The sequence below is a fragment of the Homo sapiens genome, chromosome 2 (assembly GCF_000001405.40).
Source record: "Homo sapiens chromosome 2, GRCh38.p14 Primary Assembly".
In the NCBI taxonomy this organism is placed as follows: Eukaryota; Metazoa; Chordata; class Mammalia; order Primates; family Hominidae; genus Homo; species Homo sapiens.
The window spans coordinates 109,742,427-109,764,964 of NC_000002.12; the positions used below are offsets into that span (position 1 = coordinate 109,742,427).

Sequence of the window (22,538 nt, forward strand, 5' to 3'; positions counted from 1 at the left end):
AACAAAAACAAAAACAAACAAACAAACAAACAAACAAACTATATATGTATGAATGATATATATGGGGAAGACTACAAAACTCTGATAAAAAAATAAAGATTTGAATAAATAGAGAAGTATTCCATGTTCATGAATAGGAAGATCCAATATTGTTAGGATGTCAGTTATTCCCAACTTAATCTGTAGATCCAATACAATCCTAATAAAAATCTCAGCAAGTTGTTTTGTGGAATTAACAAATTGATTCTAAAGTTTATATAAAGAGGCAAAAGACCCAGAATAGTCAACATGGTATTAAAGGAGAATGAAGTCAGAGTACTGACACCATCTGATTTCAAGACTTACTCACTTATCTCACTTATAAGTGAGAACATAACGCTAGAACAATCAGGACAATGTGGTATTAGCAGAAGATTAAATGAACAGTCAATGGAATAGAATTGAAAGCCCAAAAATAGATGCCAACAGGTATAGTCAACTGATATTTGCAAAGGAGCAAAGACAATTTAATACAAAAATAAATGATGCTGAAATGATTGGACATCTACATTAAAAAAAATCTAGCCAGGCATGGTGGCTCACACCTGTAATCCCAATGCTTTGGGAGGCGGAGATGGGAGAATCACTTGAGCTCAGGAGGTCAAGAGCAGCCTGTGCAACATAGAGAGACCCCCTGTCTACAAAAAATTTAAAAATTAGCTGAGTGTGGTGGCTAGTGCCTGTAGTCTCAGCTACTTGGGAAGCTGAGGTGGGAGGATGGCTTGAACCTGGGAGGCCGATGCTGCAGTAAGCCACGATGGCATCACTGCACTACAGCCTGGGTGGCAGAGCAAGACCCCATCTCAAAAAATAATAAAAATCTAGACATAGACCTTACACCTTTCACAAAAATTAACTCAAAATGTATCAATGACTTCAATGTAAAATGCAAAATGATAAAACTTTAAAAATATAACATAGAAGAAAATCTAGGTAATCATGGGTTTGGCTGACTTTTTAGGTATGAAACCAAAAGCAATATCCATAAAAGAAAAATCGACAGTTGGACTTTGCTAAAAATAACAATTGCTGTTCTGTGAAAGATACTATTAAGAGAATGAGAAGACAAGCCACAGGTTGAAAGAAAATATTTGCAAAGATATATCTGATAAAGGACTGTTATCCAAAATATACAAAGAACTCTTTTTTTCTATTTTTCTTTTTGCAACTTTTAGTTTTGATTCAGTGGATATTTGTGCAGATTTGCTACCTGGGTATATTGTGTGATGCTGATGTTTGGGGTATGAACGATCCTGTCACTCAGGTGTCAAGCATAGTACCCAATAGTTAGTTTTTCAACCCTTGCCACCTCCCATCCTCCTCATTTACTAGTCCCCAGTGTCTATTGCCATCTTTACGTCCATGAGTACCCAGTGTTTAGCTCCCACTTACAAGTGAGAACATGTGGCAGTAGATTTTCTGTTCCTGGGTTTATTCACTTAGGATGATGGACTGCAGCTGCATCCATGCTGTTACAGAGCATAGGATTTTGTTCCTTTTTATGGCTGCATAGTATTCCATGGTATATCTGTACCATGTATTCTTTATCAAATCCACCATTGATGGGCACCTAAGTTGATTCTATGTCTTTGCTTTTGTGAATAGTGCTGTGATGAACATGTGAGTGCAAGTGTCTTTTTGGTAGAACAATTTTTCTTTTGGATATATATCCAATAATGGGATTTCTGGGTTGAATGGTAGTTCTAAGTTCTTTGAGAAATCTCCAAACTGCTTTCCACAGTGGCTGAGCTAATTTACATTCCCAACAATACTGTATAAGCATTCTCTTTTCTCTGCAGTCTTGTCAGCATCTGTTGTTTTTTGACTTTGTAATAATAGCCATTCTTACTAGCGTGAGATGTTTTCTCATTGTGGTTTTGATTTGCATTTCTTTGATGAATTAGTGATGTTGAGCATCTTTTCATATATTTCTTAGGCACTTATATGTTTTCTTTTGAGAAATTTTTTTTTTTTTTGCTTGTTGATTTGTTTACATTCCTTATAGATTCTGGATGTAGACCTTTGTCAGACGTGTAGTTTGCGAATAGTTTCTCCCATTCTGTGGCTGTTTACTCCAAATTATACAAAGAATTCTTAATAGCCAATAATAATAAAATAAATGATCTAATTAACAAGTAAGAGATCTGAATAGATATCTCACCAAAGTAGATATACAAATGGCAAATAATTAATTGTATGAAAAGATGCTCAACATCATATGTCACCAGGGAACTGGAAATTAAAACAACAATTACATATCACTAAACACCGATTAGAATGGCTAAAATCCAGAACACTGATAACATCGAATGCTGGTGAGAATGTGGAGCAACAGGAATTCTCACTCATTGCTGGTGGAAAAGCAAAGCAGCACCATTACTTTGGAAGACTTTGGCTGTTTCTTACAAAACTAAACATACTCTTACTATACAATCTACTAATCAAGCTCTTTGATATTTATCCAAAGAAGTTGTAAATTTATGTCCCCACCAAAAATGCACATGAGTGCGTATAGCAGCTTTATTCACAATTGTCTCAAACTGGAAGCAGTAGGTGAATGGATAAACAATCTGTGGTATATCTATATCATGGAATATTATTCAGCAATAAAAGGATGTGAACTATATATATTTTTTCCGTTTTGTTTGTTTGTTTTTGTTTTTGTTTTTTGAGACAAGGTCTGGTTCTATTGCCCGGGCTGGAGTGTGGTGGTGTGATCTTGGCTCACTGCAATCTTTGCCTCCCAGGCTGAAGTTTTTCTCCCACCTCAGCCTCCCAAGTACCTGGTACTACAGGCATGTACTATTATGCCCAGTTAATTTTTTAAAATTTTTTATAGAGGTAGGATTTTGCCATGTTGCCCAGGCTGGTCTTAAACTTGTGAGCTCAAGTGATCTGCTCACCTCAGCCTCCCAAAGTGCTGAGGTTACAAGCATGAGCCACCACGCTGTCCAGGACATGAACTGTTAAGCCATGCAAAATCATGGAGAAACTTTAAATGTATGTTGCAAGGTGAAGGAAGCCTGTCAGAAAAGGCTACACACTGTAAGATTCCAACCATTTGGCATTCTGGAAAAGGCAAAACTATAGAGACAGTAAAATGATCAGTAGTTGGTGGGGGATGGGAGCCAGGAATAAATAGGTGGAGCACAGCAGATTTTTAGGGCAGTAAAACTATTTTTTATGATTCTGTGATGATGGACATATGCCATTGTGCATTTGTCAGAAGCCCTAGAAGTACAAAACATAAAGGCATAGCCCGGCGGGGGATGGTGGCTCACGCCTTTAATCCCAGCACTTTGGGAGGCTGAGGCGGGTGGATCACCTGAGGTCAGGAGTTCAAGACCAGCCTGGGCAACATGGTGAATCCCCATCTCTGCAAAAATACAAAAATTAGCCAGGCATGGTGGTGTGTGCCTGTAATCCCAGCTACTCGGGAAGCTGAGGCGGGAGAATCGCTTGAATCCGGGAGGCAAAGGTTGCAGTCAGCCTAGATTGCACCATTGCACTCAAGCATGGGCAATAGAGTAAGATTCCATCTAAAAAAAAAAAAAAGGTAGTCCTAATTAAAATTAAGGATTCAGTGAATAATAATGCATCATTATTGGTTAATCAGTTGTAGCAAATGTACTACAGTGAAGTTAATGATAGAGGAAACTGGAAGAGGGGAGATGAGGAGAAAGTGGGGGAGGAAGTAAAGGAGACACTGTATTTTCTGCTTGGTTTTTCTGTAAAACCAAGCTCTAAACATAGTGTATTAGTTTTTAAAAAGGTAATGAAATGCTTGAAAAAAAGGTAAAGATATTGAGAAAAAGTTCTGGCTTCAATAGTTGAGTAATGAGCACAGCACATTTGATTGACAATTCTGAAATCTACATTAAACATACCAGCTAATTAGTTTCTATTACATTCCAATAAATGTATAAAGAATTAGAACAAATGAACTAATTTTCCAAAACTCTCCTGTAAACATGTAGAAAGATCTAAAGAGATACTAAATCAAACCACTGTTATAGGTGGTGACACTGTATTTGGAAAATGTTTATAAATGTGCCAATCCAAAATTATAAAAAAGTCATTTCGACTTCTAGGAATGGCAAGGTATTTGTGAAATCTCGCATAGACTTAAGTGATGTTTCCACAAATATTCTTCATTTTTTTTTTTTGTTATACACAACAGATGATGCTATGGTTTAGATGTTGGCCCCTGAACCTCATGTTAAAATTTAATACCCAGTGTTGGAGGTGGGGCCTAATGGGAGGTGTTTGGATCATGGGGTTGGCTCCCTCATGAGTAGGTTAATGCCCTCCCTGGCGGGGGATTTATGAGTGAATTCTTGCTCTGTTAGTTCCCATGAGAGCTGGTTGTTAAAGGAGCCTGGTACCTCCTCCTCTCTCTCTTGCTTCCTCTCTCGCCATGCGATTTCTGCATGCCAACTCCCCTTTGTCTTTCTCCATGAGTGGAGGCAGCCAGAGGCCCTCACCACATGCCCAATCTTTCAGCCAACAGAATTGTGAGCCAAATAAATCATTTTTCTTTATAAACTATCTAGTCTCAGGTATTCTTTTATGGCAACCCAGATGGGCTGAGACAGATGATATCCATTCTTAGTAACATAGCGCAAATAATATATCTATATGCCTTTCTTATCCTTGATTTCTTTATATATGAAACATGATTCATATAGCACCATGATCTTCCCAATATTACTGAACATTTATTAAGAAAATATTCATTATCTTATCAGCATATGAGGTAATAAAAAATACCAGCTTTAGTAGTTAAGTGAATCTAATAGGTACAAAAATGAATATTTTATTACACTGAGCAAGATCCCCAGATTTAGAAAACAGACATTTATGACTATAAAATAATTATGACTAGACATAATCTAAATTCGTTTTGAGGTATAAAATTAGTTTTCCTTTCAAAATGATTCAAATCAACGACTCTAAAAAATGTTTTTTTAAATATGCCTGATGTTCAAGGACGACTTTGCCCTATAAGATCATTAACAGGCTTAACGCCTGTAATCCCAGCACTTTGCGGGGCCGAGGTGGGCAGATCTCCTGAGGTCAGGAGTTCGAGCCTGGCCAGCCTGGTGAAATCCCGTCTCTACTAAAAATATAAAATTAGCTGGGCGTGATGGTGGGTGCCTGTAATTCCAGTTACTCCGGAGGCTGAGGCAGGAGAACTGGGGTGGCGGAGGTTGCAGTGAGCCAAGATTGCGCCATTGCACTTGATTGAGCCTGGGCAAAAAGAGCAAAACCCTGTCTCAAAAAAAAAAAAATCATTAATAATACCTACACACTAAACTTTTGGTTCAGTTTGGTAGTAATTTGAATGTACTGTCTAAGGTAAACTAATTTTTGTTCCTGTCATTCTCAACCCAGTTGTTTAACATCAAGGTTAGAATGCCATGGTCTTGCATTTCCATCAAACTACTTCTTACAGGGTCCTAAATTTCCATTAAACTTAAGTTGAAGGAGATTGTCGGAAAAAAATATTAAGCTAAAGGAATTTTAAATTTTTTAACATTTATACCTTTTTTTTTTTTTTTTTTTTTTTTGAGGCGGAGTCTCGCTCTGTCGCCAGGCTGGAGTGCAATGGCGTGATCTTGGCTCACTGCAACCTCCACCTCTCGGGTTCAAGCAATTCTCCTGCCTCAGCCTCCTGAGTAGCTGGGACTACAGGCACACATCATCACACCCAGCTAATTTTTCTATTTTTAACAGAGACGGGGTTTCACCACATTGGCCAGGTGATCCACCCACCTCAGCCTCCCGAAGCGTTGGGATTACAGGCGTGAGCCACCGCACCTGGCCTAACATTTATACCTCTTTAAGAGGATCTGTCTCACAAATTCTTATCCTCTAAGTCTAAGCCAAATAAACAACACTAACCAATATACTTTCAGTGGACTGATTACAAGTTACCTTTCCATGGAAAATAAAACATTTTGGTTTTTCATTTTCTAGGTGTAAAAATTGCTTAGCCCGCCTTACCTTTAAAAGAGTATTTATATTGTAACCCCCAGTACTATTGCATAACTCTTCAATTTTCTGTACAACAGAGAATGAGACACAATTAGAATTCTATATTCCCCATTTAAAAAACTGGCTTAGGCCGGGCGCAGTGGCTCACGCCTGTAATCCCAGCAGTTTGGGAGGCCGAGGCGGGCGGATTACCTGAGGTCAGGCGTTCAAAACCAGCCTGGCCAACATGGCAAAACCCCATCTCTACGAAAAACACAAAAATTAGCTGGGCGTGGTGGCATATGCCTCTAATCCCAGCTACTCGGGAGACTGAGGCAGGAGAATCGCTTGAACCCAGGAGGCGGAGGTTGCAGTGAGCCAAGATTGTGCCACTGCATTCTGGCCTGGGTGACAGAGAGAGACTCCATCTCAATAAATAAATAAATAAATAAATAAATAAATAAATAAAGACTAGCTTAAAATAAACATGTATAAAAAATGAATTTACCCTTAGTAATAGAAAGGAAACCATATACTGCCTGAAATATCCCTACAATTTAGCATTTGTGAAACCTTTAGCATTTTATTCATATGTCTATGAATTGCATTATGACTTCTCTTTACTACACAACTCAGATGATTTGTTCCAAAGAAGTATAGAAACCTAACTTTGGAATGAACACCCAGCTGAGTTTCTTTCAGTGGAGAGCAGAGAGAGGTATATTTGGTATGACCAGCGTTCAGAGCAACTGAATCGAACCTCCACGGTGGAAACACTGATACTCTTGCTAGCTGATGTGTGCGGCTTCATCGGAGGATGAGTGTGTCTTTAGTGTCAGCTGAAACAGGGAAGATCACTTTGTTAAAGTTATCAAGTATTTGCAAGAAATACTTTCCAGTGATGGTAAAAGCCATGTGTATTGTCCTGAAAAGTCTCTAAGATGCTTTAATATAAGGTAATAAACCCATAGACAAATAGAGGAGTAGAGGCATCCTTTAAGAACTGTTCTGAGGCGGGCGCAGTGGCTCACACCTGTAATCCCGGCACTTTGGGAGGCTGAGGTGGGTGGATCACCTGAGGTCAGGAGTTTGAGACCAGTCTGGCCTTGTCAGGCATGGTGAAACATGGCAAAACACTGTCTCTACTAAAAATACAAAAAATTAGTTGGGCATGGTGGCAGGCACCTATAATCCCAGCTACTTGAAAGGCTGAGGCAGGAGAATTGCTTGAAGCCAGAAGGCAGAGGTTACAGTGAGCTGAGATCATGCCACTGCACTCCAGCCTGGGTGACAGAGTGAGACTCCATCTAAAAAAAAAAAAAGAAAACAAAAAACACTTCTAATAGGTGCAAGATTAGAAAGTTTGAGAAATAATTACAATTATTATTTAATATGATACAATTGTTTTTAAGAAATTTAGCCTAATGAATGTTAGGGTTGGATGGAACTTGACTTGATTTTTAACTACTGACAAGGTCACATAATGTGGTATGTTTTATGGACAACACATATGCTTTGCTGAATATATATTTCTTCCCTTAACAATAAAACCTGTTTCATAGCATGTCACACCATTTGTTAGCTTATCTCCAGAAAAAACTGATGTCATACAAGAGTCCCTTTAAAACCTGTTTGGATAATAATGAGTATTACAGTCATTCAAAACTTAATTAAAATGACAAACTCAAATATATGAAAAGTTCTCAATGCCAGCTCACTTCTTTTCTGAGCCTCTAAAGCATTTTATAGATTTATGAATTTTGAATTTTCAGTATGATAGATGTTTGACTGTGTTTAAATCATATATAGCCAGAAATGTACAATTCTCTAAAGTACATCACAGGCTGGTGGTGTTGAAGATGTGCTAAGTTAACACTGTGACAACATGAAAGGCTGCTGTGAACTGAATTCTGGTCACAGCACAAGAGTAGTGCATACAAGCACAACCATAGGAGATTGTGTGGGTCAAGGATACTTTTGCTGAGTTCATAGAAAATAGAGGAAACATCTAGGTGTTCTGGGTTATGCTAATGGTTGAAAACAGCAGCAGGGAGCTTTGTAACCCCCAAGCTTAACATATCTGGGCCTGAGATTCCTCACAACTGAATGAGGTTGAACTAAATGGTTGATTCTCACCTAGCTACCCTGCCCTTCTCTCTTGTCCACATGAGGCTATTGTAAAAATTTGATAAGATCAAGGACTTCGCATGGTAGCTGGCATCTACTTAGTGCTGAACAGGTAAAAAGAATCACTACTATAATAATAATAATAATAATAATAATAATAATTTTTTTTTTTCGAGTCAGAGTCTTGTTCTGTCACCCAGGCTGGAGTGCACTGGCGTGATCTCGTCTCACTGCAACCTCCACCTCCCGAATTCAAGTGATTCTTCTGCCTCAGCCTACTGAGTAGCTGGGATTACAGGCGTGCACCACTATGCCCTACTAATTTTGGTACTTTTAGTAGAGACGGGGTTTCACCATGTTAGCCAGGCTTGTCTCGAACTCCTGACCTCGTGATCTGCCCTCCTCGGCCTCCCAAAGTGCTGGGATTATTGGAGTGAGCCACTGCACCCGGCCCCACTACTATAATTATTAACCCTATTTATAAAACCAAATTAATCTACCTTAGGTGTCAGTCAGGTCCCTACATTGGGATTGTTTAGGAACAGGCTGGATGATCCTTTGTTGACAAGGATTTAGTAACTGGTTAAAACTAGGACTAGGATCCAGGGAACAGGGCAGAGGAGTCTAGATACCTCTGTTAGTTCTATTTATGTGAAACAAATGACTGGAAACCTCAAATTACCAATTGATTTATGTTGAGTGTTAGGAATGTCTCTCAGACTTCCTTCATTTCTGACCCATAGACTCTCTTCAAAAGGACTCTTCTAATTAGACAAAATATACCTCTTGATTATATCACAGTCAGAATACTATAGACCTTAAATATATCTGCAACCACCCCCCACCCCTGCCACCTCCAGCATTGCCATGTAAGGTTATCTAATTAGGGAAAAGACATCCCAATATATTCAGAAGTCCAGGCCCCCCTCAATGGGAGGAGATTGTACAGGAGTGGACTCCAGGGGACAGAATCTGGGGGGCTGTCTTAGAATTGTGTCTACTAAAATAGCCTTTCAGTCCCCTTCCAACTTAGAAAGTTGGAGGTTCTAATTTACAAGGAGGAGCAGCTCAAGGTTTATCAGAAAGAACTGGGAGAGATGAGAGTGAAACAACAGGAACTGAGCTCCCGCTGTTCAGCAGAGAGAGTGCTCTGTATGCTTCAGCTGATCTGATTCTCACAAGAATTGGTAGCACCCTCATGAGGAGGCGTGAGCTTCCCAGGACAACACACCCACATCTTCATTGCATTTCCTCTCCTCTGTGGCTGTGATGCTCTCGATACTAAACCTCACCGCCTCATTTGCCCCATCAGTGCCTTGCCTGTGCAGCCCTCTTCCTTCTTTCTGCTCCTACTGCCCTTCATCCCCCGCCACCAGTCCATCCTTGCCCCAGTACGGCTGGGGACACTCACCCGCATACTGCATGCTCCTGCGGCGTCTCCTTCTGCCTGTTTCCTCCCTCCTAGCCTCCTCTCCCTGCCCTCTCCTGCTTGTCAAGGTGAGGAATAACCATGGCAGTGTAGGTGGGAAAGTATGAACAGGTTTGACATTTTAAAGGAGGAATTATATTAACATCAGACTTCATTCATAAATTATGCATTATTTATCCATGTTCATATAAATATTTGCCATGTGTATGAACACATAATACTAATATAATGGTTAAGATGCATAATTTTGTGTCTCTCAGTTCATTTTCAGTCATTTTCTGATGGATCCAAATTTCTACTAATAAAATTATGTTTAGAGCTGCATAAAAAGCTAGAAACTGACCAACATATGGTATTTTTCAGCAACTTTGGCTGCATATGTATTGAAAAGTATCAATCTATTGAAAAGTATTTAATCTGTAACCTCATCACTTATTACTTGTCACAAAATTTTGCATTCAATAACCCAAATAATATCACAATTCCTATTTTTATCTTACTTTTAAAAATTGAGTCACATGGCAAAATTCTGAGTTCTTAAATGAATTGTGGGCTAAAGGGTTCTTTTTAGAAATTTTTTAATTTTATTTTTGTGGGCATGTAGTAGGTACATATTCATGGAGTATGTGAGATGTTTTGATTCAGGCATGCCCTGCATAATAATCACATCAGGGTAAATGGGGTATCCATCCCCTCAAGCATTTATACTTTTTTTGCATTACAAACAACCCAATTATACTTTTTTAGTTATTCTAAAATGTACAATACATCACTGTTGACTATAGTCACTCTGTTATGCTATCAAATACTAGATATTATTCATTCTATCTAACTATATTTTTGTACCCATTAATCACCCCTATTTCCCCTCACCCTCCACTTCCCTTTCCAGCCTCTGGTCACCATCCTTCTGCTCTCTGTCTCCATGAATTCAGTTGTTTTGATTTTTAGCTCCCACAAATAAGTGAGAATATGGGAAATTTGTTTTTCTGTGCCTGGTTTATTTCACTTAACACTATGACCTCGAGTTCCATCCATGTTGTTGTAAATGACAGGATCCCATTCCTTTTTTACAGCTGAATAGTACTCCGTAGGGTATATGCACCACATTTTCTTGATGCATTTGTCTGTTGATGGATACTTGGGCTGCTTCCAAATCTTGGCTATTGTGAATACTGCTGCAATAAACATGGGAGTGCAGATATCCCTTCAATACACTGATTTTCTTTCTTTTAGGTATATACCTAGCAGTGGGGTTGCTGGATCATTTGGTAGTTCTATTTTTCATTTTCTGAGAAACCCCCCAAACTGTTCTCCATAGTGGTTGAACTAATTTACATTCCCACCAACAGTGAACATGGATTCTCTTTTCTCCATATTGTTGCCAGTATTTGTTATTGGTTGTCTTTTGCATAAAAGCCATTCCAACTAAGGTGGGATGATATCTCATTGTAGTTTTGATTTGCATTTCTCTGCTGACTGATGATGTTGAGCACCTTTTTATATGCCTGTTTGCCATTTATATGTCTTCTTTGGAGAAATGTCTACTCAGAATTTTTGTCCATTTTTTAATCACATTATTCGATTTTTTTCCTATAGAGTTGTTTGAGCTCCTTATGTATTCTAGTTATTAATCCATTGTCAGATGAGCAGTTTGCAAATATTTTCTCCCATTCTGTGGGTTGTCTCTTTACTTGTTGATTGTTTCCTTTGCTGTGTATAAGCTTTTAAACAAGTGACCCATTTGTCCATTTTTGCTTTGGTTGCCCATGCCTGTGGGGTATTACTCAAAAAATCTTTATCTAGGCCAATGTCCTGGAGGGTTTCCCCAATGTTTTTGTGGAGTAGTTTCATAGTTTGAGGACTTGGATTTAAGTCTTTAACCCATTTTGATTTGATTTTTGTATGTGGCAAGAGACAGGGGTCTAGTTTCATTCTTCTGCCTTTGCATACCCAGTTTTCCCAGCACCATTTATTGAAGAGCCCATCCTTTCCCCAATGTCTGTTCTCGGCACTTTGTTAAAACTGAGTTCACTGCAGGAGTATGGGTTTGTTTCTGGATCCTCTGTTCTGTTCCGTTGGTCTATGTGTCTGTTTTTATGCCAGTACAATGCTGTTTTGATTACTATAGCTCTGTAGTATAATTTGAAGTCAGGTAATGTGATTCTTCCAGTTTTGTTCTTTTTGTTTAGGATAGCTTTGGCTATTCTGGGTCTTGTGTGGTTCCATGAAAATTTTAGGATTTTTTTTCTATGTCTGTGAATGTCTTCGGTATTTTGTTAGGGATTGCATTGAACCTGTAGATTGCTTTGAGTAGTATGGACGTTTTAACAATATTGACTCTTCCAATCCATGAACATGGAATATCTTTCCATTTCTTTGTGTCCTCTTCAATTCTTTCAACAGTGTTTCACAGTTTTCATTGTAGAGATCATTCATTTCTTTGGTTAAGTTTATTTCTAGATATTTTATTTTATTTGTAGCTATTGTAGATGGGATTATTTCCTTGATTTCTTTTTCAGATTGTTTACTGTTGGCATATAGAAATGCTACTGATTTTTGTATGTTAATTTTGTATTCTGCAACTTTACTGAATTTATCAGTTCTAATAGTTTTTTGGTGGAGTCTTTAGGTTTTTCCAAATTTAAGATCATGTCATATATAAGAATAATTTGACTTCTTCCTTTCCAATTTGGATGCCATTTATTTCTTTCTTTTGTCTGATTGCTCTAGCTAGGACTTCCTAAAGGGTTCTTGATAGAGTTTTTTCCTGGTTTGAGTTTTCTGATGAATTCCAGCAGATAGTTTTTCCACTTTGACTTTAGGATTAGTATTGCCCCGCTGTGAGAACTGTAATACTGACTGAGGAATGAGTGATCACTGGGCCCTGTCCCTCATTAGTTACACTGAAATTGTTCTGTACTACGTGAATCCTTGTGTGTCCTACAAGAGTTGCTCTGTGAGTAAAGGGTTTCTTTCTTTTTTTTTTTTTTTTTTTGTAAAGGGTTTCTTATGTTTATTTCACTTCCTTCTCCAGTATACATTATCTGATGTTCCCCTATTCCATTTTAACCACACCAGGGGTATATGGAAATCCAATTCTGACACTAACTATCAAGAGTTAGCATCAGACTTCACATATTTAAAGGCTCATTCCCACAAAGCTGTTCTTAAGATTTCAGATGCTAGGCACACCTTGGTGGGGGGGGGCCCAAGCCACTTGTACTTCTACACAACTGGCTATAAAATCAGAGGTTTTCATTTGATTTCCCCTCAGATTCAATAATTCACTGAAATAACTCATAGAGCTCAAGAGTAAGCAATAATTATGATTACAGGTTTATTATAAAACATACAACTTGGTAACAACTACATGAAGGGATGTATAGGGTGAGGTCTAGAGGGAATGCAGAGCTGTGTGCCCTCTCCCCATGGAGTCACTGCTGGTTACCCTCCTGGTCAGCAAAGTGTTCACCAACCTAGAAGCTCCCCTGAACCTCAGTGTCTAGAGAGCTTTCTGAGGTTTCATTATGTAGGCTTGGTTGATTAAATCATTGACCACATAATCAAACTCAATCTCCTGCTCCTCCCACCCCCAGGTTGGGCTGGGTCAAAGTATCAACCCTGTAATTGCATAGTTGATCTTTCTGGTGACCTGTCCCCATCCTGAAGCTATCTAGGGGCTCATCACAGTCACCTCACTAGCATCTCTAAGACACTGCTGTCACTCAGAAAACTCCAAGGGTTTTTGAAGCTCACCTGGATTTGGGCTCTGGAGAAATCCTTCCTTCCCTCCACAGCATTGCTTCTTGCTTCAACTGGGAAATCATGAATGACTTGCAGAGCTGATGCTCTCTGGGCAAAGTTGCATGGATTTTGAATTCTGTGTGAGAACTGTGTGTGATCTTCAGATCTAAGGCAGGCTCCCAACAAGACAAGGCGAGCATGGAAGGGCACCCGGGGAAGAGCACCTTGAACACCAAGGACATTGAGGGCCCTTCCCTGGAGCAGGAAGGAAAACCCCTGACACCAAGCCCCTGAGTCTCAGCAGCAGTGAAGATTTAAATGTTTCCACAGTGGGTTGTGGAATTTATTCTCATAATTAATGCAATAAAATTAAGATCCATTGGAACAATCTAGGTTCTATTTGGAAAAGAAAATGGCTATATTTTTATTACTATGGTCTCAAACCCTAGCTTAGTGCTTAAAACAGTATTGTCACTTAGTAAAAAATTTAATCCATTTATTTATTCAAAAAAATAGTCATTGAGTTCCCAGCACTGTTCTCAATGTTGGAGATGGAGTAGTAATAAAGACACAAAACTGTGGTCAGGAAGACGTGTTCTAGTGGTTGATAAACTAGATTTAAGTAAATAAACAATGTTCAGGCAGTTGTAAGTGCTGTGAAAGAAAACAGATGAGGAAAGAGACAAAGTGGCGTATGTGGAAGCTGCCTGGCCTGACGGGCTGAGCACCTGATGAAACACCTACCTCCATACCCAACCTTCAGCACCTGCTGTCACACATCCCTGTTACCTGTGGTCACCACACACCTAAGACCCCTGCAACCACTGACATGGTTAATTGAGTGAGTCATTTCCCTAACACAGCATTGGATGGATGAGAAAAAGACAGCCCTTCACTTATGTTCCCTGAAAGGACATCCTCAACGGAGAATGAAAAAATTAATGTACATGTTGGGAAGGACATGATCTCATGATGAGTTCTTGATCTGCCATGAGCATTCTAGAGTTCTGGAGAAACAGAACTTGCATGAACACTTCCCGGACACCCTTACTAATAGAAGATCCAGGCCAAGAGGAGAAATGTGCTCGTCTGCTGGCAAAGGGTAATCAACTCAGGAGAAAGAGCAAGTCCCCACGCACCCGTGGGTTCCTTGTCAGGAACTCGGCTGCCACCTGTCTTCCTCCACATTCTCCTTCAGGATGGTCTGAAAACTAAGCAGACAAAGCTGAAGAAGGATAAAGAAACCATGAGACCCTGGTCTTATTCACCCCTTCATGGACCTCCAAGCCTTCATCTGGGAGTGAGTGACACCAGCTCCAACCCACATGTACCTGCAGGGTGATCTAAGACAAACAGGAGGAACCCTTTTTTCCCAGATCACAAGGAAGAAGGCTTTGGCTACAGCAACTCATAAGGAACATGTGAAAATCCTCATTTTATAGAAAAATAAGAGGACAATTATAGTGTTGTATGCTTTGCTTAGACCTGGTTTTCAGGGATATCATATAATTCCCTCCCTGATGGCAACTCCTAGGAGGACCTGACTCATGTCACATGGTGATTCTTCTTTGCACAACCAAGAACAAAACTTTGTGACTTAATACTTCTTGGTTAGGTGCATTAGCATTCTTTCCCTAACACTCACCCAGCCCTGCAGAACAACCACCTCCCTGCTGTGCCCTGCCCTCACCCTCCCTGTCCTGTCCCACCCTACCCCCTTCCTCTCCATCCTGCCCTGTCCCCCACCCCCACGCTCCCCCCACCCCCACCCTCCAATGCACTTGCCCTCAATCATCTTGACTCCCCAGCATGTGGGTTCAGGCAGCACCAGAGCCTCAATCCCAGCTCCATGCCCCAGGGCCTGAATGTGCAGCCAAGCACATTTGGAATCTGTTTAACAGTGGACATAACAATTCAAAGCCTCATCCCCTGTTGGAGGGTTCAGTGGTTCACTCTGCTAGTTTAGCAACAAAACCCCTTTTACCAAAAAGAAGCGGGAGTGAGCCCTTTCTAATGCCACTGCTGTGTCTCACAGTCATCCTACGGCAGTGGAGCTCATAGAATACAGAAGGAAAGAGCTTAGTTTTGGGGGATATTTGACTCCTTTGGAAATCTTAGTAAAATGGTAGCTGGAGTTCTGCCTTAGTAATTATCATTGGCAGGAACATCTCAGCATTTCATAATTTATGTTTTTGAAGCATTTGCCAACAGTAGACTACTTTCCAGAACAACGTTAATAATTGGATGTATTGCATGGACAGATAGTGATAATGAGTCATGAACAGGGTGGGAAGACAACTCCTTGAGTGAAGTCCCCAAAAGAGAAAAAAATCCCCATAGCATTAATTGAGGCTCTGTGAATCAGTTACTTGAGATTGCTTATGTAATCCACCTTGTTTACTCCTCTGGGTGAGGTGACTCACTTTTGGAGGCCAAAGATAGATCATGAGGTCAGGAGTTTGAGACCAGCCTGGCCAACACGGTGAAACCCTGTCTCTACTAAAAATACAAAAACTAGCTGGGCGTGGTGGTGCATGCCTGTAATCCCAGCTACTGGGAAGACTGAGGCAGGAGGATGGCTTGAACCCAGGAGGTGGAGGTTGCAGTGAGCCGAAATCATGCCACTGCACTCCAGCCTGGGTGACAGAGCAGGATTCCATCTCAAAAAAAAAAAAAAAAAAATCCTCACAATAAGTGTGCTATTTGTGGATCAGCTGTCCATATAACAAGTGACATGAAGTAAGTTCTAAAAGCTTTATGAATGTGACCAAGTCTCATGCTACAAAATGACAGAGCTAGAATTTAAACCAAGCTCTGCCTATCTCTATCTCAAATTTCTACATGTGTTTGTCTTGAGAGAGGTGGACACCAGAGTCAGGTTTTACTGGAATATGTCTCCTGTCTGACCAGCGAGAAGAGGCTTTTCCTTGTTATCAGAGCCTTGTCTTTTCAGTCTGAACACACAGTCACTACCCTACCCCAAGCCCAGGTTCTACTCTATGCTCCCACGTCTCCTTATTTTTACTCTAAACCAAAAAGTGCCTGAGACAGATCTTCGTTGATTAGAGGTTTATTTTGCCCAGGTTGAGAATGTACCCAGGAAAAAGAAATGCAAGTTATAATAGGATTTGTGACCTATGCTTTTTCCAAAGAGGGTTTTGGGAACTTCATTATTTAAAGGGAAAAGAGCAAGCAGGAGGGGAAGAAAAAAGAGGAGGGAGGGTAGGCAGCAAGGCAAGTGCTTTCATTCTTGTGGGGCTCTGATTAGCACTCAATGAATCCACATTTCACATAACGCAAGCATGTGAAATTACAGCCATCTATTTGGGAACAAAAGGAAGGCAGTTTTTGCCTGACTCAGTCTCCCACGCTTAACTTTCCCTTTGGCATAGTGAGTTTGGGGTCCCAAGATTCTACTTTTCCTTCACATTACTCATCCTTACTCATTGCAACACATATGTACCAAAGACCAACAGTTCTCATGTCCACCTGACATTTCGCATCTATTGATCAAGAGTCCAATCCCAGATGATTCCAAATGTCACCTTTTCCCTGGCAGTATTTGCCCTAACAGATAGGTGCTATGTCAAAGCCACCCTTTGACTGACTACAATCACCAAGGATCTTCCTGTTCATAAATCTTGGTAAGATCACAGTTATCGCCCTGTAATTAAATTCCATGGAGTGTTTCTCAGCATTTGGGTTGGAACTAAAGCAGAATTGGAACGTAACCTCTTTTTCTCAACAGATTCAGAGTCCTTGAAACTTGCATGAATGGCCAGGGCACATCTTGAAGACGCATGACAAAGAACCTGTGGGGATATTAAGATTTAAGTCAGGATGATTGGTTCTTGTTACCAGCATCAAAGGATCTTCTCATATCACAAAATAATGAGATTATCCCCCAACATTGGTCAGCATGGCATAAAATACATGATCTGTGATAGGAGATGCTTTTCTGATCCGCTTTTATGAAAAGTAAATGTCCTTCCTGCCTGCATTTTCAACTTTAGTATGTGTGCCTGCCTTTTTCTTTTTAAAATGTGGTAAGCTTCACCCACCAGCCTTTAGTACCGGCTGTATAAGGAGCAACTAACACCAAGACATACATGCTTATGCCCCATCCACTTTATTTTAAAGCACTCTTCAATTTGTCAATACTTTAATTCTCTAAGCAGTGTTATAGTGGCTGACCACTTTTGAAATTATCTTTGTTTTGTTTGGTACTTGAAGGGCATGAAAAACTTCCCTCCACTTCCTTCCCCTCTCCCGGGGCTCATTTTCCCCTCTCTTTTCTCTGCCCTGCTTGCCCTCTGACCCTGCCGAGCTCTGCTGTTTCCACAGACTTCTGAATCTAATTAATGTCATAGTGACTATATAAGTGAATTATGTAGGCAGGAGGATGCGGGAAACTTTGGGGAAGGTGCATTCCTTAGGGAAAAACCTGGTTTTGTTAAAAAAAAAAAAAAAAAAGGAAAGAAATGCACATTCCCAGGAACACTCATTCCCAGGGGGTAGAATGTCAGTGAAGCATAAAACCTCAGCAACTACTTACATTCAATAAATATCTGTTGTCTGATGAGCAGACGGAACCCTAAGAGCGGCGGCGGCGGCGGCGCAGGGCCGGGGGCGGGGCCGGGGGCCAGGCGGGGCGGGGGCGGCGGCGGCGGCGGCGGCGGCGGCGGCGCAGGGCCGGGGGCGGCGGCGGCGGCGGCGCGGCGAGCTCGCTGCTCTCTCTTGAGTGTGCCTGCGCGCAAGCCGGGGAGCGGGTGAGTGCGCCGGCCGCTGCAGCCAGCCCGGCCGGCCCGGAGTCGGGGGCGGGGGGCGTCGGGAGCCCCGACCTGGGGGCGGGCGGCGGCCGCTCTGGCGCGGCTGGGATGCACCTTGAGCGGCGCCTTTCGTCGCAGCGCGCGGGCGGCCCGAGCTTCGGCGGCGGCGGCGGTAGCGGCGGCGGCGACGCTGACACCTCCCACCATGGACAGCTTCGACTTAGCCCTGCTCCAGGAATGGGACCTCGAGTCACTGTGGTAAGTCCCCGTGCCGGCCGCTTCGGGCGGGCGGGAGCGGCGAGGGGCGGCCGCGGCGGCCCGCGCGTCCTCACCTGGGCCGGGTGCTCCGGGCGGCCGGCCGCCGTGGGGGTGGGGTGGGTCGGGGGCGCCTGCCTCGCCAGCCCTTTTCTGCCTCCCCGGGTGGGATGCGTGGCCGCCTGCCTGTCTGTTTCCCCCTCTCCTGTTCGCCTCCCTCGCGGCGGCCCGCCCCAGCCCAGGGACTGGTGATCTAGGTAGCCAGGGGCAGAGCGCAGCCGTGGGGAGGAAAAGAAGCGATTTGAAGACTGCGTCACTAATGCCTGGGGATCCACCCGTCGGCCCCCTGCTCCTCTCACTTCCTTTCCCTCCGACTGCGCCCCCTCCCTCCTCCGGCTGGCACCACCGACCCCCTGGAGTTGGTGCTGCTGCGAAGTGCCCTTAGAGGATGCTCCAGCCTCCCCGCCTGCGCCCGGTCTCGGCTGCATCCTTTCTGTCTCTCCCACCCACTTCCACCGAGATGGAAAAGTGAACATCCAGGGCGGGAAACGAGTGTTTCTCCGTGCCGGTATTCCAGAGGCCTTAGCCCAGGGAGACTCCTTTCCTCGGGGTTCACAGTTCCTCTGGGCCCTTTCTTCACACCTCGTCACAGTTGCACTCCTCCTCCCCACCCCACCCGGGCGCCCCAGGTATCCCTTTGTGCCACGCTCACAGCTCGCAGCCCGGGGGGCACTCCAGGTTCCGTTTCTCGGGGATCTCACACTGGGGAGCTGCTGTAGGTAAATCGCCGCTGGAAGCAGTTTAATTCCAGTTGCGGGTGTCTTAAAAATCCCATTGGCTGCTTTAGTATCTGTCTTATTCCCCCTTCTTTCTCTGCTCCCCCCAACCCGCCACTATCTCTTAAATGTTTCCAACCAGCACTATTCAGGTGGTAAAATTACTGCCTGCATATTCCTGGAGGAACTTGTGTTATGTTTAATATTTACGGGGATGAACATCTGCTGGAACAAGCATATTAACTGCACTCTGTTCTGCCTCTGGTAATCGCTTATTGTAGAGCTGAGCTTGTTTTTTTTTTCCTTTTGCTTTAATTCAGTAAAGAGTTCACATGTGTCTAAAACTGCATGTGGTGTGCACATGAATATGCAATGTACAATTTTAAAGCTAAACTGCTTTATGATTTATAACTCATATAGATGATATGTGGATCTGTGTGTATTTTCTGTGATTTAGGTTTCCAGTGACTTTTATTTTCCTAAAGACAGGTGTAACAAAATAAACTGGACACAAAGCTAGCACATTATCGAACGGTTTCTTATAAAAGATCCTATGATGAGTAAGTACAGCTTGCTCTGCATAATGTTGGTGCCTGTAAAACACACAAGGACGGGCCCTAATGTAATAAAACTTTTACGTATTGCACTGGAAACTTCAAAGAGCCAGGGCAGAAAGAATATGAAACATGTTATGACTGTGTAAAAGTTGCTAATTACTGTGTTGCTGCTCCTGGGGTTATTTCAGCCTTTCATTTACAGATACCTATTATTTTATAGGTTTACATTTAGAGATGTTGGTTTCTGGCGCAAATTCAATAGCTTTCCAGATAGCAACTGTACTTTTAAAATGCTGTTTGCTTTTAAAAGGCAGTTTTTCAGTCAAAAGGAAGAACTTACTGTTTCGGTATATTTTTATGCTGCTTGTCTGCTTGCTGACTCAAAGCGAACCCCCTTATGACTTTCATAAGTAATATTTTGAGATTATCAGCGTAATTTGTGGGGTCTTCCTGCACAGAACCTGAGCTCTGTTTCCTTTTGCATCCTTAGTTCCCAGCTGAATTACCCTGGAGCAGTGTCACAGAATAAATATCTGTTGAATTGACTTGAAATTTACATTAGCAGTACATTTATTACTTTTAAAAAAACAAAAACTTACACGTTTTTTAAAAAGTTGATGTACGTGCAATCACATTTTAATGAGTGCATCGAGTTTTGGCTTATGAAGGCATGTAGACTTTCTTGATCACAATATACTAGGACAGTTTGGCTTGACCGGGAGGGTTTCTAGTTTTGCAGATGTAGAATTACATTTTACAAAAGCTTATATGTTTCTGATAAGTTAAAGAAAAACCAAGCTTGAGTATGCATTTCTAATATGTTTAGACATTTTCTCACAGATGAATTTTTGGATGCTATGTTCTCAGTTTTATGGTTTACGTAAATTTTTAAGTTTATGGTTACTTTTAAGCTTATAGATGGTTCAAAATAACTAATATTTGAGAACTTTCTGTGTGTCCAGTATTTTCATATCCATTGTTTTCTTATTTGAGTCTCTTAATCCTGGAAAGGGTAAGTAAGTGGTAGTAGTTCCATTTTATAGATGAGGAAATAGAAGCTTTGAACTGTTAAATGACTTTACTGAGGTCATAAAACAGATGACAGCAGACTTTTTAAAACTAACATTTGCTGAACACGTATTATTTATCAGACACTGTTCTGAGTACATTACATGTTTTAGCTCATTTAATTATAAAGCAAGTACTGTTATTAGTTCCATTTTACAGATAGGAAAATTGAAGATGGGAAGATAGGGTAACCTGCCCAGAGTCACACATCTAAAAATGGGGCAGCCATATTTCAACCAGAAATTAGCTTCAAAGCCCAGTGATCTGACTTCAAATCCAGTCAGACAATTGCCATTTTCTAGAGTACTTCACATATCTCTCAGCTTATAAGGACAGCTCCGAAATTAATTACAAAACAAAACCTCGATGGACTGGAAGTTAAGGTCCTACTAAAATAACAAAGAGAGAGAGCCCTAAATGGTATTAAAATTAAAAATTTGAAAATAAACTACCATAGTTAGGAAAGTATACCTGTTAATTATGAATTATTGTATTAGAGCAATATACATTTTAAAGACCATTGAAAGCTTCTTCCTTTGATTGATCATAGAAAAACTTTTTTGAAGGAGGAAGGAGGAGGTACAGATTAATGGCAAAAGAGAATCTTATTTTAATCCCTAAGAACTTTTTCTAATTGATGGACATCATTTTCCAATTGAACAAATTGGAATTTATTAGTGGTGACTGTGGCTTTGAATCTGAGCTAGTTTATTCTTGCAGTCACAGAGAGTGTCCTCAAATGACTGTATAGAAAATATAAAGGGAAAAGCTCAGTTCTGTTGAATATAATCAATATACACAATCAATTGATAATTCACAACTACCTCCTTTGCCTTCTTGCACGCTCTTCCTGCCACTCAGAAACATCCATACTTACTCTTCAGGATGGGTTTTTTGAGCCTGAATTATCCAGATGGCTGTTTCAACTTTTTCAGCCATACCTTAAAGTTGAAAAGGATGGCCCTAATTTCCACCTCTAATTCCACTTCCAGTTTCTGGTTTGAAGCAAGACTGGAGAACTTAGAAAAAGGTGAAGGTGTTCATTCAGCACCCGACACTGTAGCTTTGTTCTGTAGAGTCTTGAAGAGTTGGGCATTCCGTGAGTTTACAGGGGCAGCAGATATGCAGAGGCGCAAGGCTGCCCCCTCCACTCCCTGGTCTTCCTTCTGTGGTCCACCAGCTTTTGATTAGGTGCTAGACATATAAGCCATTCCTCAGGGCCTTTAAAATAATGACCATCCCTTTTAACAGGCTAACTGTTGCTTTCATTTAATTCGTTTAACAAATATTTATTGATCATCTCTTAAGTAGAAGACCTTGTGCTGGTTTCTGTGGGAGATGCAAGGATGAGTAAGGCGTAGGTTGTACATATTAGTGTTATTGTCAAATGAGGAAATTAAGACAAGAACACACATGAAAAAGGAAGTTTTCAACACTGGTGATTCAGAAAAGAGACCATATTTGGGACTTGGGTGGAGGATGGAAAGAGGAAAAATTGAATTAAAAAACAAAGGCTTCCATGAAATAGGTGGCCTTTGAACTAAGTCTTGGAAGACAGATGGTGTGGGTGGGGGTATTGAGAGTACAGGGAGACATCTTGGGCAAAGAAAACTTGAACAAGGGCTTTCATGGTGTCTCTAAAAGATCATTTTATGCATCATGGTGGAATTACCTATACTGTCTCTTTTAAAGATGCAGAACTTTGTAGTCATGAGGTAGTTTCAGTGAATGAGAAAAGTTTTCCAAAATGAACTTGTATTTCATCTTCCTTAAATGTTAACACATTTTAATCATT

General features: G+C 41.2%; 2 protein-coding genes and 1 long non-coding RNA gene across 5 annotated transcripts in view; 2 read left to right on the forward strand and 1 right to left on the reverse strand.

Moving 5' to 3' along the window:
- RANBP2 (RAN binding protein 2) overlaps positions 1-22,538 on the forward strand; it is a 1,122,820-nt gene that overhangs the window by 1,022,945 nt on the left and 77,337 nt on the right. The window lies entirely within an intron of this gene.
- LOC100506563 (uncharacterized) lies at positions 16,373-21,805 on the reverse strand. Its single transcript, XR_001739113.2, has 2 exons — positions 21,621-21,805; positions 16,373-17,130 (listed from the first exon to the last, which is right to left on the reverse strand). It is a non-coding gene; the product is annotated as an uncharacterized LOC100506563 (long non-coding RNA).
- RGPD5 (RANBP2 like and GRIP domain containing 5) overlaps positions 18,192-22,538 on the forward strand; it is a 97,088-nt gene continuing 92,741 nt past the window's right edge. For all 3 annotated transcript variants that reach the window (XM_006712794.5, XM_047445980.1, XM_017005081.3), the window contains exon 1: positions 18,192-18,345. In XM_006712794.5, coding sequence (XP_006712857.2) covers positions 18,196-18,345 — 150 coding nt within the window. In that variant the 5' untranslated portion in view covers positions 18,192-18,195. The remainder of the gene's footprint in view (positions 18,346-22,538) is intronic.